We start from the raw sequence: 15395 nt of genomic DNA, 5'->3' as shown, positions 1-15395 counted from the left end.
AATTAACCTCTGGTGAAATTGAGAGCCATAGGAAAAGGAAAGGGTTAGCCATCTGGTTTCCTATAATTAGGTTAATTTGTCACAAAATTTAGAGACCTTCGAGTTTGGAAGTATTCCAACGGAAGCTGTTTTATGTCCTTTCTGTTAAGCTTCACTGAGCAAGAGGAACCTCAGGCCCCCAGAATTAAATAAAACCCCTGTGTTCCACCAGCCCTGATCACTCACCTCTCTATTGGGCACTCAACCATGAAACTCCATTCCCTTATTTCTGTTCTCCTCCTCTTTGTGACTTTAATACCAAAAGGTAAGATGGTGAATGATTGTAGAAGTCTATTGGGACGCCTAGACCGGAAGAGGTCTACTGAGATAATTATGCTGTGGCCATCCGAACTCAGACCCCAATTCACAGCCTTAGGAATTCAGAAATCCACCATGTTTCTCTTCTTTGGTACTAATGAGGCCACAATTGAGAAGCAGGACAAGGAGTTCTTTCAACAGAAAATGGGGGTTCAAGAGCTCGATAATTAGAAAATGGGGCCGAAATAGAGTTAGGGGTATAGAAGCTCTGATATGTGATTTAAAGGTTAGTAAATAAAGCAAACAGCTATCATCAAGGCTTCACTCTCCAAAAAGGAGAGTGAAGATGATAGTTCTTGATTCCAACTCGGTAGTGGATGGAAGTGATGTTGAGTCTATTGGTGAGGAATATTTGTGAAGGGTAGCAGTTAGGCAAATAAGACAGAGTTCAACAAGAAAATTTTGCATCAAATTATAAAAGACCAATAGAAATTTGGGAACAAGGGAATTGGGAAAAGAATAAACAGTGGCATGAAGCTTTAATGGCAAAATTTTAAGCATAAGACAAATAGTACAGAAAACCCTTCAAGACTCATAGTTGCATCCTTAGGGTCCACGATTCAGAAGTTTAAATATCGAAATGTAGAATCAAACTGAAAAGGGAATATAGAATCAAACATCTTCAGGGTGTTTCATCCAGATCCTGATAAGATATGATAAAATTATTATCTCCACTGTTAATAGTGGGATGTTCATAGCCCCCAAAATAAAGTGTGTGGTCAATGAGCAAAGATCTCTTCCTCCCTTTATCTCTGAGATTATTTTTTAAATAATTTCAACTTATATTGTAGATTCAGGGGGTACATGTGCACGTTTGTTATGTTGGTATATTTTGTGATGTGAGGTTTGGGGCATGATGGTAATCCCATCACTCATGTAGTGAGCATAGTACCAAATAGTTTTTCAATCCTTGTTTTCCTCCCTCCCCACTCTAGTAGTCTCCCATGTCCCATCTTTATGTCCATGAGTATCCAGTGTTTAGCTCCCACTTACAAGTGAGAACATGCAGTATTTGGTTTTCTATTTCTGCATTAATTTGCAGTCCTCCAGCTCATCCATGTTGCTACAAAGTATATGATTTTGTTCCTTTTTATGGCTTCATAGTATTCCATGGTCTATATGTACCACATTTTCTTTATCCAGTCCACCATTGATGAGCACCTGGGTTGATTCTTTGTCTTTACTATTGTGAGTAGTTCTGGGATGAACATAGGAGTGCAGGTATGTTTTGGGTAGAATTATTTGTTTTCTTTTGGACGATATACCCAGTAGGAATTGCTGGGTGGAATGGTAGCTCTGTTTTAAGTTCTTTGAGAAATCTTCAGACTGTTACATTCCCACCAACAGTGTATAAGCACTCCTTTTCTCCACAGCCTCATCTGCGTTTCTGTTATTTTTTAACTTTTTAATAATAGCCATTCTCACTGGTGTAAGATAGTTCTCATTGTGGTTTTGATTTGCATTGCTCTAGTGATTAGTGGTGTTGAGCTACTTTTCATGTTTGCTGGCTGCTTCTATTATCTTTTTTTGAGAAGAGTCTGTTCATGTTTTTCATGTCTTTTCCCCACTTTATTTATTTTTTGCTTGTTGATTTAAATTCCCTGTAGATTCCGGATATTAAATTTTTGTCAGATGCATAGTTAGCAGATATTTTCTCCCATTCTGTTGTTTTCTGTTTACCCTGTTAATAGTTTCTTTTTCTCTGCAGAAGCTCTTTAGTTTAATTCGGCTCTACTTGTCAACTTTTGTTTTTGTTGCAATTGCTTTTGAGTACTTAGTCATAAATTATTCCCCAAGGCCAATATCTACAATGGTGTTTCTTAGATTTTCTTCTAGGAGTCTTATAGTTTGAGGTCTTACATTTAAATATTTAATTCGTCATGAGTTAATTTTTTGTATATGGTGAAAGATAGGCATCCAGTTTTATTCTTCTGCTTGTGGCTGGCCAGCTATCCCAGCACCATTTATTGAACAGGGAGTCCTTTTCCCGTTGTTTATTTTTGTCAACTGTGTCAAAGAGCAGATGGTTATAAATGTGCAGCTTTATTTCTGGGTTCTCTATTCTGTTGAAGTGGTTCATGTGTCTGCTTTTGTACCAGTCCCATGCCATTTTAGTTACTGTGGCCTTATAGTATAATTTGGAGGCAAGTAGGATGATGCCTCCAGTGTTGCTCTTTTTGCTTAGGATTAGTTTGGTTGTCTGAGTTCTTTTATGGTTTCATATGAGTTTTAGAATAGTTTTTTCTATTCTGTGAAAAATGTCATTGGTAGTTTGATAGGAATAGCACTGAATCTATAAATTGCTTTGGGCAGTATGGCCATTTTCACAATATTGGTTCTTGCAATCCACAGCAGGGAATATTTTTCTATTTGTGTTACCTGTGATTGCTTTCAGTAGTGATTTGTAGTGTCACTTGTAGAGATCTTTCACCTCCTTGGTTAAATGTATTCATGGGTATTTAATTTTTTGTGTGGCTGTTGTAAATGGGATTGCATTCTTGACCTGGCTCTCGGGTTGAACATTGTTGGTGTATAGAAAGGCTACTGATCTTGTACATTGATGTTGCATCCTGAAACTTTACTAAAGTTGTCTATCAGGTCCAGGAGGCTTTCAAAGAATCTTTAGAGTTTCTTAAGTGTAGAATAATATCATCTATAAAATGAGGTAATTTGATTTCTTCTTTTCCTATTCGGATGCCTTTTATTTCAAAAGGCTGATTGCTCTGGCTCGTATTTCCAGTACTATGTTGATTAGGATGGTGAGAGGGGGCACTCTTGTTTTGTTCCAGTTCTGAGATTCTTTGAAGTGCAATCAAAGCTACTCAATTGTTTGATCTTTACCTAATCTGTGGACATGTTGAGATCCACCTCACATATGATTGCCTCCTTCTGAAGGAGCTTATGCAATTCTCATTTGGTTCTCAGCTTTGGTCAGAAGATACCATTGAGGTCAGATACACTTGTAGTGACATGTGATGTGAAATTATATGATGGTAATAATTTCAAATTAAAATAAAATTTAGTGGCAGTTGTTTTTATTTTAGATAATAAAACCCATGTACAGATAAAGAATGTGATTTTCCTCCGATCACATAGGTAGTAGCAACATCGCAGCTAAAAGCAAATCTCTTTAATCTGGGTCAATGTTGTTTTTAATCAATCCATAGGTGGAGATATGCATACAAAAACGATAACTCTGATTTCTGCCAGACTTTTTTCTCAGAATCTTCTAATTATATATTGTGGAAACTAAGGAGGTTTTCTACTATATGTGACAACATGGATGAACCTGGAGGACATTATGCTAAATGAAATAAGCCAGTCACAGAAGACAAATAGTGCATGATTGCACTTATATGAGGTACCTAAAATAGTCAAACTCATGGAAACAGGTAGCAGAATGGTGCTTTCCAGGGACTGGGGAGGGAGGAGGAAATAGGGAGTTGCTATTTAATGAGTAAAAGTTTTCAGTTTTATTAGATGAATAAGCTCTAAATATCAACTGTACAATATTATATCTATAGCACTTAAAAATTTCTTAAGAATGTAGATCTCACTTTAAGTGTTACGACCACAATAAAATAAAAGATGAAGAACAAGAGGTTATTTGAGGTTGAAAGCTGAGTTAATCTCCCCACAAATACGACAAGAATCCTTCAGAGGCCTGCCTTTCAAGCCGTGACATCTTCCTGGAGGAATAGAAATATCAGCCCTTCTTTCTTCCTTCCAAATCAGCTATACCAGGAAGAAGGATTAAACAAAGGTCCTATAATTCTGCACAGGAGGGAATCACTTTTGAATAGCCAGGTTTCTTGTGATCAGAGGATATTAAAACCATACATAAAGGTCAAAATACCTTAGTTGTGCATATTGAGATGTTCTTGGACACATTATGAAGTGGGACCCAGAACACTCAGGTCGAAAAATAGGAATTTCAATATCAGTTTTGTATGGTCTCTTAGTACTGAATAGTTAATTGCTGAGCTGTCTATACAATTTAATAACACTGCACTCCAAAAATTCTGATCTTAATCTCTGCTGTGACTGTTGGGCATGTAGAATTTATCAGGTGTCTAGAAGCATTCTGATAATCTTAGAAATTTTATAACTCCTATATAACTTTTATGTCATAAAATTTCTTTTAAGAAAAATTGAGTGGCTAGATCATGAAGAGTTTTGTTAAAGACATTTTTACACCAAAAAAATCCAATTAAGTAAAAAAAGTTATTGTTTTCATGAAAAAATTTCTCCAAAGAAACTACCTAATCTGAAATATTAGTTTATCAGCTTAATGTCTGATGAATATTAAGTTATAGCTACTTGAATATATGTTTTTATATATCCTTATATTTAATCCAAAAAGAATCCATGGTATCCTATAAAAAATTGGAATAGTTCATATAGATTTATATGTACACATAAACATACATATATATGCTGGGAATATGAGTCTAAAGAGGTTAGAATGGCATAAATCTTGGATTGCTGCATTAGCTCTCTGAGAATTAAGAAAATTATAGCATTCTTCTTACACTGACTGTGGAGAATAACATAATATCTAAATACACGACATTGGACAGGAGCAGAAGACAGCCTGAACTCACATTATGTAGAGAAAAGGAAACTGCACTTCTATTTTTTGATTGATAAAGTTCCAGGCAGATCCTGTTCCATTTAAATCCTCTACATCATCCAAAAAAAAAAAAAAACTTAAAAGTTACTGACTCAATGAGTTCTAATGCTAAGAAAGTTATATCCTTTTAGAAAGTAGATGAATGCGCTATTAAGGGTATTTTCCAGTGTGATTCTAAGTCCTTCTCACTGCATCCACAGAAATTAATGTTGTGATATAATATGAAGTGAACATCTAAATTGTTTCTTTTTCCAAAGGCACTTATTAAATATGCATCCTTTCCTCAACTGCCGTGTGATATAACCATTATAACATATTAATGTCAAATAAATTCTAAAGTGTATTAGAGAGTGCCTCTCTTCTTTTGCTCTATATGTATATACTTCTGTCAGTAAGTCTGAAAATAAATGTGAATATCTGGGAAGAAATTTCCTTCCTCATGAATGAAGAATATGAATCTGAATCTGAATTAAGTAATTTAATCTTATCTTTTTGAGTTAAACTAGTGCCCTCGGCATGACGATATGTCACAGTCATCGGTAAAAAGGGAGATTATAATTCTTTGGCTTCATGCTCAAAGCATACCTCCTTAAATTAAGCTTCCCATGTAGCAAGAAGCACATCACTGGTAGGATGAATTGTTCCACTCCTTTTGAGTGAAGCAAGGGACATCTCCCAAATAGAGGAATTGGCACTGTCTTAGGCTACATGCTGTGTCAGTAGGCTGAACTTTACCGTATAGTGGGTTATGCATCCTGCTGAGAGGAAGTTCACTCTTTTGGCTTCAGCTGAAGATTCACATTCCACCTCATTTTGCATGGGATGCCTCTAAGTTCACACACATAGGCCTCCTTGATACCATACTCTGCCTCTGACTATATCTTTCCCAGTACTAACACCCCCTGATTTTAGCTTCATTTAAAAAGTCTGACAGTGTTGCCAGATGTTAAATGTATGGATGAAGTTATCAGGGAAAAGACCAACAGCTAGCAACAGGTCTGCTATGCTTCTGAGCATGAAGCCTGTGTTCTGTGTAGACAATGCAGTTGAACCAGCACCTTCCACAACTGGCTGGGGAGACTTCAGGTCTCTCTCTGAAAGTCAGCCACTTTCTCTTCCACAATAGTCTTGGAAAAAAGAGAGAATATTACAAGATATTGCCCAACTCCCCCATCATGATATTCTCTTGTGCACAGAAACCCTGAGTTTATGAACTGCTAGTCTGATAGTAGAGTATAATACCAGACTGCACTAGGTTGAAGCTTCTAACAAGAGTGGAAGACAATCTTGCATAGGTTATGAGCACTCAGTTCCAAAAGGTTGCATTGGTTTTTCTGGCTATGGATCTATTTCTACAGAGTAGAGAAACAATAATGATAGCCTAGTTTAAATACAAAACAATAACAAACAACAACAAAAAGATTGAGAGCTGAAACGGCCACCAAACTGTTACTCATCTACAGAAGCAAAGAAGCCAGAGGTAGTATATTAGAGGCCAGTAAAAACAAAATAAGATCCAGGTGTGTTAACAGGATGGTTCAGGAACTAATGTCTGTTAATGAACATCAGCAAAAGTGTTTTTCTTATATAACATCTGCAGTGATATACAGTAGGAAAAATAAACTATGGTTGTGCTGAGAAGGCAAGAGAAAGGATAGTAAGCATAGAGAAAACTACTGAATTAGAGCACACCCTTAGCCATATGCTTCTCAAAAACCAGATGAATTAAGAGAACATGTGGATACACTTAAGGGAAAATACCTTTTAGCTCTGTGAGTAATTCTCTGCAGGTGTCTGTCTGTCTATCTATCTATCTATCTATCTATCTATCCATTCCTCCACCTATCTATGAGGTATTGAGCAACATAGGAAAGGTATTTCTTACATACTTCTGAAATGAGGAAATTAGTTTAGATAAAATCTCAAGGATTGATAGGCTTTCTATGAAAGGAGATGAAGATATGCACATGAACCATTTGATAGGGATGATGTATGCACAGATGGGTATTTGGAGGGACACATACTTCCTTTGAAACTGTTTCTTAGTGGTGGCATTGTTGGTGTTTGGTGCAAGACAATTCCTTAGGTGAAAAATTTAGCAATGCTGTGCTATCTGCTAAATACCAAAGACACCTTCCCTAGGCATGGTGGCAAGAACAAATGGTCCCACACATTTCAAAATGTACTGCAATAGGGGAGGACAATCCCTTTAAAGGATTTTAGAAATTGGCCTATTTCCTCCAAGGTGTATATAATCTACAATCTTAGCTCCCTTCCCATAAAAAGGCGCTGTTTCTGTCTGCGGGTCTGATCCTTTCATATAGACAATGTTTTCTTTCCTATCCCAAAGCCATTCTTCTGGGGGTTTATTGTTTTATGTATATTTTCAATAGTGAATTAATGATGTTCTTAAATTTCTTCCTGTGTAGGAAAGACTGGCGTTATTCCAGGACAAAAACAGTGTATTGCTTTGAAAGGGGTGTGCAGAGACAAACTATGCAGCACACTAGATGATACCATTGGTATATGTAATGAAGGAAAAAAATGTTGTAGAAGGTGGTGGATACTTGAGCCCTATCCAACTCCGGTTCCCAAAGGAAAATCTCCTTAGGTGGGAGCAAACGTTAAGCCCTTTGAACTCCAGAATGGATGGATAAATTTTGCAGACTCCTGCTTAACCCAATTCCTTATTCTTCCTTGACTGGAAATAAATGTTGTCCTAATCCCATGTGTACTGACTGCCTCCTGGAGCATTTCTTCTTGATGCACATGCAAGCCTCTTAAGAACTATAGGAATAAAATAAATAACAGAAGAATCTCATACCCTATAGGTACTTATAAAAAAATGTTTCTAAGAAAAAAAAGATAAAAATATTAAATACGTAAAACAATAAGAATATGAAGTATCAGTAGGCAGTGTTTGATTATTTGAAGTGCAATGTCAGTCTGCTTCCTCATCCAGTTCTGAACAAATATCATTTTCATTACTAATAGAGACCTACTTAGATAATATGGGTTAAAGCCTGCTAATCATGTGACCTTGCTAACATTGCACCTGAGAATTAGGCGCATGACCATTCCAGTCATACCAGCACTTGAAGCAGATCTCCCCTCTGCTGCCCCCTGCCCCTAGAGAAGTAGAAAAGAAGACCCGCTTTCTACAAGTAGGCTCACTAGGAGGAGCTGTAGAGCTGAAGAGTGGCTAACTTATCATGCCTGGTTCTTTCCAAACTCTCCATCAGATAAGTCCATTTCCTGGGGCCAAGAAAATTAAAGGGCAGGGAGGATACCAGGAGTATGACATGGCATGAGTGTCACAAAGATGGAAAACATCTAGAATGAGGCCAAATTACCTCACAAACAAAATTCAAGGGTTTGTATTTTTTTAACCACAGAGCTTATGGTCAATGAATCAGGGGAGGATGGGTTATCTCCCTATGCAGAGGAGATGTCAGGAGTCTATTAAAATAACTCAAATCTCATCTTCATGGATCTGTTTCTTCAATACTAGTCATTAATTTTTCTATATCTTCTCAGAATCACTCATGAACGGCATGTTACTCTGAGATCAGATTCTAAGCTAATCTCAGAATAATACACTAATACAATTTTTACCATATACATTTTACACATAGCTGAAAATTTACATCCTCTCTTCTTTGCCATCTTAAGTTATGTGCCACTACATTATCCAGTGTAGCACATTAGAGATTCTTTGATAATTAAATGACATTAAGAGACTTTAAAAGTCATAAATACCCTCCTATATTAAAATGCTAAAAAAGAAAAACTTCCCACATTTGAATATAAACAAGTGTTCTTATAAAATTTCTAGGCATAAATTGAAGTTCAAAGATTGAATCTCTTCTATCTCTATGTTAAAGCCCAAAGACATTAGAATCCAAATGAATTACTGCCTGAAATTATCTTCCCCTTGTTAAGTCCAAATTTTTCTATTAAATGTAAGCAAAAAAAAAAAAAAAAAAAGTCATCACCCATTTCTTATTCTCCGTCTTAGTGAAATAGTGAAAGTTTCTTCAGAGACTTGACATTGAATTAATATAACATCTCAACTCACTGAAGCAAAAAGAACTTTTTTTTTTGAGACGGAGTCTTGCTCTGTCACCCAGGCTGGAGTGCAGTGGCGCGATCTCAGCTCATTGCAAGCTCCGCCTCCCGGATTCCCGCTATTCTCCAGCCTTAGCCTCCCAAGTAGCTGGGACTACAGGCGCCCGCCACCACGCCTGGCTAATTTTTTGTATTTTTAGTAGAGACGGGGTTTCACCGTGTTAGCCAGGATGGTCTCGATCTCCTGACCTCGTGATCTGCCCGCCTCGGCCTCCCAAAGTGCTGGGATTACAGGAGTGAGCCACCGTGCCTGGACAGAACGTTCTTTATATCTGGGCAAGAAGAAAAAACAGGTAAGGGAAATGAAAAACATAAGGAACAAACAGAATCAGTCCAGAAAGTCTAATTTCTTTTTTTTTTAAGTGAAAGTTTATTAAGAAAGTAAAGGAATAAAAGAATGGGTATTCCATAGGCAGAGGAGCCTCTAATTTCTAATTCTGATTGTTTTTCTTAATTTTCTTTCGGATAATACTCTCGATTTTACCATACAGTATTGGCCATTTACTAAAGAAGTTCAGTGACAGATAATACAATATAAAGTAGAGCAATGTGTCTGATCTCCAGCACTGTCAACATTTTGAGAAGAACAATTTTTTTTTTTTTTTTTTTTTTGCTGTGGGGAGCTTTCCTGTATATTGTAGGATGTTTAGCAGCCTCTCTTGCCTCTAAAACATTTCTCCCACCTGTGACCAAAAAATAAATAACTAAACAAACAAACAAATAAAAATCTCTAACATTACTAAAAGTCCTCTGAGGGCAACATTGTCCCTAGTTGAAAACCACTATAGTAAAGAAATTATCAGTTAAAGGTGAAAGTAAATAGGAGTTAGAAAATTCAATCAAGTAGAGATCTTTGCCTGTAAACTTTCAAAAAGTAGGACAGCTTCACATATAAAATAATAGATAAGAAAAGTCTTCTGACAATCCAAAGATGAATTATATCTCTTTATCTGAAACATATAGATCTAGAGATAACCCCTTTGGTTTTTTTACTGCTGTGCTAGTTGTTATAAATACCTGACCATATCTTAACCATTGAGATTTTAGGGCAATATTGCTCTGATATCTCATCCAGAGGTGCAGAAATCCACGTTTTAGGGACATTTAAAAGATTTCTGGGAAAAGGCTGTCTGTGCCTTTTGATAATAAGACTGGGTGAATTACATGCAATCTGTTGGAGTACTTGACTATATCTTCTGGAGAAGGCCATGTTTACTGTATACAATGATATGATTCTGTGCATGGAACATATTATATTGATACTAATTTATGAGGGCATAGTTGATAAACCCCAAAGGAATTAATTTTACTGTTATATAAAGGCAAAGGCAGGCCGGACGCAGTGGCTCACACCTGTAATCCCAACACTTTGGGAGGCTGAGGTCAGGAGTTCAAGACCAGCCTGGCCAACATGGCAAAACCTCGTCTCTACTAAAAATACAAAAATTAGCCAGGCATGATGGTGGGTGCCCGTAATCCCAGCTACTAAAGAAGCTGAGGCAGGAGAACTGCTTGAACCCAGGAGGCAGAGGTTGCAGTGAGCCGAGATTGTGCCACTGCACTCGAGCCTGGGCGACAGAGCGAGACTCCTTCTCAAAAAAAAAAAAAAAAAAAAAAGACAAAGGCAATACTATATATCATGAAAGCTTGAGATACTCTGAGACCTTTGCCAGTTGTACATTTAGAAGTTCGTTTTGTTCTTTCTATCTTTCTGGAAAATTTGATATGATCGAGACAATAGAGTTTCTGAATAAATGGCAAGTCACAAAAATACTAGAAAATAGTCCAAGTAAAATGGATTTTATTATCACTAGAAAAAGATTGCAATTTCCATATTCAAAATACAAAATAAAATATTTTTGCTGCTGTAAGAACAATAGCTCATATAACCTTGAAAGGTTTTTATATTAGATGTAAAGTAGTATGACACCCAATGATAGACTGTGGTGTAAAGAGCAATACTATGAACACTAAAGCAACTCTTAAATAACACAACAGTTTAATAAGAAAAAAAATGACTAATTACAATGACCCATCTACTTGAAAAAAAGAAGAAAAAGAAATCAAAGAACAAATGAAGCAGAACATCTGTAAGATGGCTAAGTAGAAGATCCCCAGCCTTCGTCCACCCACAGAACACTGATTTGGCAACCATCCATGGATAAAATATCTTTGTGGTAACATCAGGACCCAGTCAGGAGTTCATGACAACCCACTAGAGCCCAAGACCAAGGAAAACTGCTTTGAGAAGGCAGGCCCATGTCCCTGGGAGTAGGCTCACCAATCATAGACCTGGCCATGAACACAGAAACACCGCCATCTGCCTGTGGACCCTGCTGCAGCCCGGCTCACAGGTGGTTCCAGATGCAGCCTCAAAAGTCATTCCCAAAAGTCATTCAGGAGCAGGTTGTTTAATTTCCATGTAATTGTATGGTTTTTAGTGATTTTCCTAATATTTGTCTCTATTTTTATTGGGATATAGTCAGAGAGTGTGGTTGGTATAATTTCGAGTTTTTTGAATTTGCTGATTATTGTTTTATGGCCAATCACATGGTTGATTTTAGAGTGTGTACCATGTGCACATGAGAAGAATGTGTATCCTGTTGTTGGGTGGACTGTTCTGTAGATGTCTTTTAGGTCCATTTGGTCAAGTGTTGAGTTAAGGCCTAAATATCTTTGTTAGTTTTCTCTCTCAATGATCTGTCGAATGCTGTCAGTGAGGTGTTGAAGTCTCCCACTACTACTGTGTGGTTATCTAAGTCTTTTTGTAGGTCCCTAATAACTTGTTTTATGAATTGCGCACACTTGTCTTGGGTGCATATATATTTAAGATAGCTAAGTCTTCTTGTTGAATTGAACCCTTTACCATTATGTAATGCCCTTCTTTGTCTATCTCTATCTTTGTTGGCTTAAAGTCTGTTTCGTCTGAAATTAGAATGGCAACCCCTGCTTTTTTGTTTCTCATTTGCTTGGCAGATCTTTCTTTGAGCCTTTACTTTGAACCTATGAGTGATGGGTCTCACATGCAATGACACTGAAGACAGCATACATTTGGGGCTTGCTTCTTTATCCAACTTGCCACTTTGTGCCTTTTAAGTAGGGCATTTAGTCCATTTATGTTCAAGGTTAATATTGCTATGTGTGGAGTTGATCTTGTTATTGTGTTGTTAGCTGGTTATTATGCAGACTTCATTGTGTGTTGCTCTATAGTGTCACTATCTATGTAATTAATTGTGTTTTGTGGTGGTTGGTACTCTTTCATTTCCATATTTAGTACTCCCTTAAGGACCTCTGGTAAGGCATGTCTGATGGTAACAAATTTCCTTAGCATTTGCTTTTCTGAAAACGATTTTATTTCTCCTTTACTTGTAAAGTTTAGTTTAGATGGATATAAAATTCTTGGTTGGGATTTCTTGTCTTTAAGAATGCTGAATGTAGGCCCACAATCTCTTCTGGCTTATAGAGTTTCAGCTTAACAGTCCACGGTTAGCCTGATGGGATTCCCTTTGTGGGTTTCCTGCTTCTTTTCTCTAGCTGCCTTTAATACTTTTTCTAGGGGATGGTTGTCTTGTGTAGTATCTTGCAGGCATTCTCTGCATTTCCTAAATTTGAATCAACCTCTCTAGTGAGGTTGGGGAAGTTTTTATGGAAGATATCTTCAAATATGTTTCCCAAGTTGTTTGCTTTCTCTCCTGCTCTTTCAGGGATGCCAGTGAGTCATATATCTGGTCGCTTTACATAATTCCCTATTTCTCAGAGGTTTGTTCATTTTTTTGAGTTCTTTTTTCTTTATTTTTGTCTAACTGAACGAGTCTTCAATCTCTGAGATTCTTCCCTCAGCATGGCCTATTTTTTTATTAGTATTATACTTTAAGTTCTAGGGTACATGTGCACACGTGCAGGTTTGTTACATATGCACACATGTGCCATGCTGGTGTGCTGCACCCATTAACTCGTAATTTACACTAGGTATATCTCCTAATGCTATCCCTCCCCCCTCCCACTACCCCATGACAGGCCTCAGTGTGTGATGTTCCCCTTCCTGTGTCCAAGTGTTCTCATTGTTCGATTCTCACCTATGAGTGAGAACATGCGGTGTTTGGTTTTCTGTCCTTGGGATCGTTTGCTGAGAATGACGGTTTCCAGCTTCATCCATGTCCCTACAAACAACATGGAGTCATCCTTTTCTTATGGCTGCATACTATTCCGTGGTATATGTGTGCCACCTTTTCTTAATCCAGTCTATCACTGATGGGCATTTGGGTTGGTTCCAAGTCTTGCTATTGTGAATAGTGCTGCAATAAACATACGTGTGTATCAGCATGCCCTGTTTTGCTGTTAATACTTGTGATTGTATTATTAAATTCTCATAGACAGTTTTTCATATCTATCAGATCAGTTTTGTTCTTTCTTAAAAGGGCTATTTTGTCTTTCAACTCATATCATTTGATTAGATTCCTTAGATTCCTTGAATTTGGTTTCAACTTGCTCCTGAATCTCGATGATCTTCATTCCTATCTTGATTCTAAATTATATGTCTGTCATTTCAGCACAGTTAAGAACCATTGCTGAGGAACTACTGCAGTCCCTTGAAGGTGAGAAGACACTCTGGCTGTTTGAGTTGCCAGAGTTCTTGTGCTGCTTCTTTTTAATCTGTGTAGACTGATGTTTCTTTAATCTTTGGTGTTCTTGTCTGTATTAATCTGTTCCCAAGCTGATAATAAAGACATACCAGAGAATGAGTAATTTATAAGGAAAAAGGTTTAATTTGCTCACAATTCCACATTGTTAGGCTGGGGAGGCCTAACAATCATCGCAAATGAGGAGCAAAATTACGTCTTACGTGGTGTCAGGCAAGAGAGTTTGTGCAGGGGAATTCCCGTTTATAAAATCATCAGATCTCATGAGAGCTCACTCATGGGGGAACCACCCCCATGATTAAGTTATCTCCATCTGGTCCTGCCCTTGACACATGGGGATTTATTCAAGGTGACATTTGGGTGGGGACACAGAGCCAAACCGTATCACTGTCCTTTGGATGGGGTTTTCGCTCTTATATTCTTTGACATCTTTGACGGTTTGATTGTGGAATAAAGTGGGTTCCGTTGACTGGTGTCATTTCTGGGAAACTTCTGGGGGCCAAGGCTCAGCTCATTACTCCTGGGCTGTGTGCCCTAATCCTGGGAAGCTGGTACCAGGCTCCTGGCTTTTTTCTCTTGTCCCTTGAGGTGAGAAACCTGCTGCACTTGACATTGGACATTTTAAGTTCTAACTTAAGTTCTAACCGCAAAAGCACAGACAATGCATTCAAAAATAGACAAATTCGATTATAATCAAAATAAAAAGCTTATGCACACCAAAGAAAACAATTAAAGAGACAATCTGCAGATTGGGAGAAAATATTTGCAAGCCATACATCTGCTAAGGGGTTAACAGACAAAATTTATAAGGAACTCAACAACTCTACAGAAAGAAAACAAATAGTCCAATTAAAAAATGGGCACAGGAGGTGAATAGACATTTCTCAAAAGAAGACATACAAATGACCAATAAACTTGTGAAAAACTGTTCAACATCACTAATCATTAAGGAAATGGAAATTACAACCAGAATGAGATATCAGCTCACACCTGCTAGAATGGCTACTACCAAAAAGAGGAAATGTAACAGGTGTTGGAGAGTATGTGTAGAAAAGGGAACACTTGCACACTGTTGTAGGAATGTAAATTACTGTAGCCATTATGGAAAACTTATAAGTTTCTCAACAAAAATAAAAATAAAATTGCCTATGACCTAGGAATCTCACGGCTGGGTATTTACTGAAAAGACTTGAAATTTGTATATTGAAGAGATGTCTGCATTTCCATGTTCATTGCAGCACTTTTTGCAATAGTCAAGTTTTGGAATCAACCTAAGTGTCTATCAACAGATAAATGGATAAAGAAAATATAGTATATATACAGAGTAGAATACTATTCTACCTTAAAGAAAAGAAACTTTTTTATTTGCAGCAACAAAGTTGGAATTGGAGAACTTTATGCTAAGTGAAATAAGTCTGGCACACAAAGACAAATATTACATGTTTCACTTATTTGTGGAATCTAAAACAGTCAAACTCAAATAAGCAGAGAGTAGAACAGTGGTTACCAGAGGCTGGGGATGGTAAAGGGATGAGGATATCATGGTCAAACAGTACAAAGCCTCAACTGGACAAGAGAATTAGGTTTCTTTAAGATATACTGCACAGCATGGTGAATATAGTAAAAAATGTATTATA

At 37.2% G+C, this 15395-nt stretch overlaps 1 protein-coding gene across 1 annotated transcript; it reads left to right on the top strand.

Annotated features, from left to right (window-relative positions):
* Nucleotides 1-246: 246 nt before the first annotated feature.
* Nucleotides 247-7601, top strand: DEFB130A (defensin beta 130A). Its single transcript, NM_001037804.1, has 2 exons — nucleotides 247-304; nucleotides 7420-7601. Exons 1-2 carry the CDS (start codon nucleotides 247-249, stop codon nucleotides 7599-7601), a joined length of 240 nt encoding a protein of 79 aa, NP_001032893.1.
* The last annotated feature ends 7794 nt before the right edge of the window (nucleotides 7602-15395 follow it).

The sequence above is a fragment of the Homo sapiens genome, chromosome 8 (genome assembly GCF_000001405.40).
Source record: "Homo sapiens chromosome 8, GRCh38.p14 Primary Assembly".
In the NCBI taxonomy this organism is placed as follows: domain Eukaryota; kingdom Metazoa; phylum Chordata; class Mammalia; order Primates; family Hominidae; genus Homo; species Homo sapiens.
The sequence above is the reverse complement of the archived record's forward strand: the minus strand, read 5'-3'. Positions and strand labels throughout refer to the sequence as shown.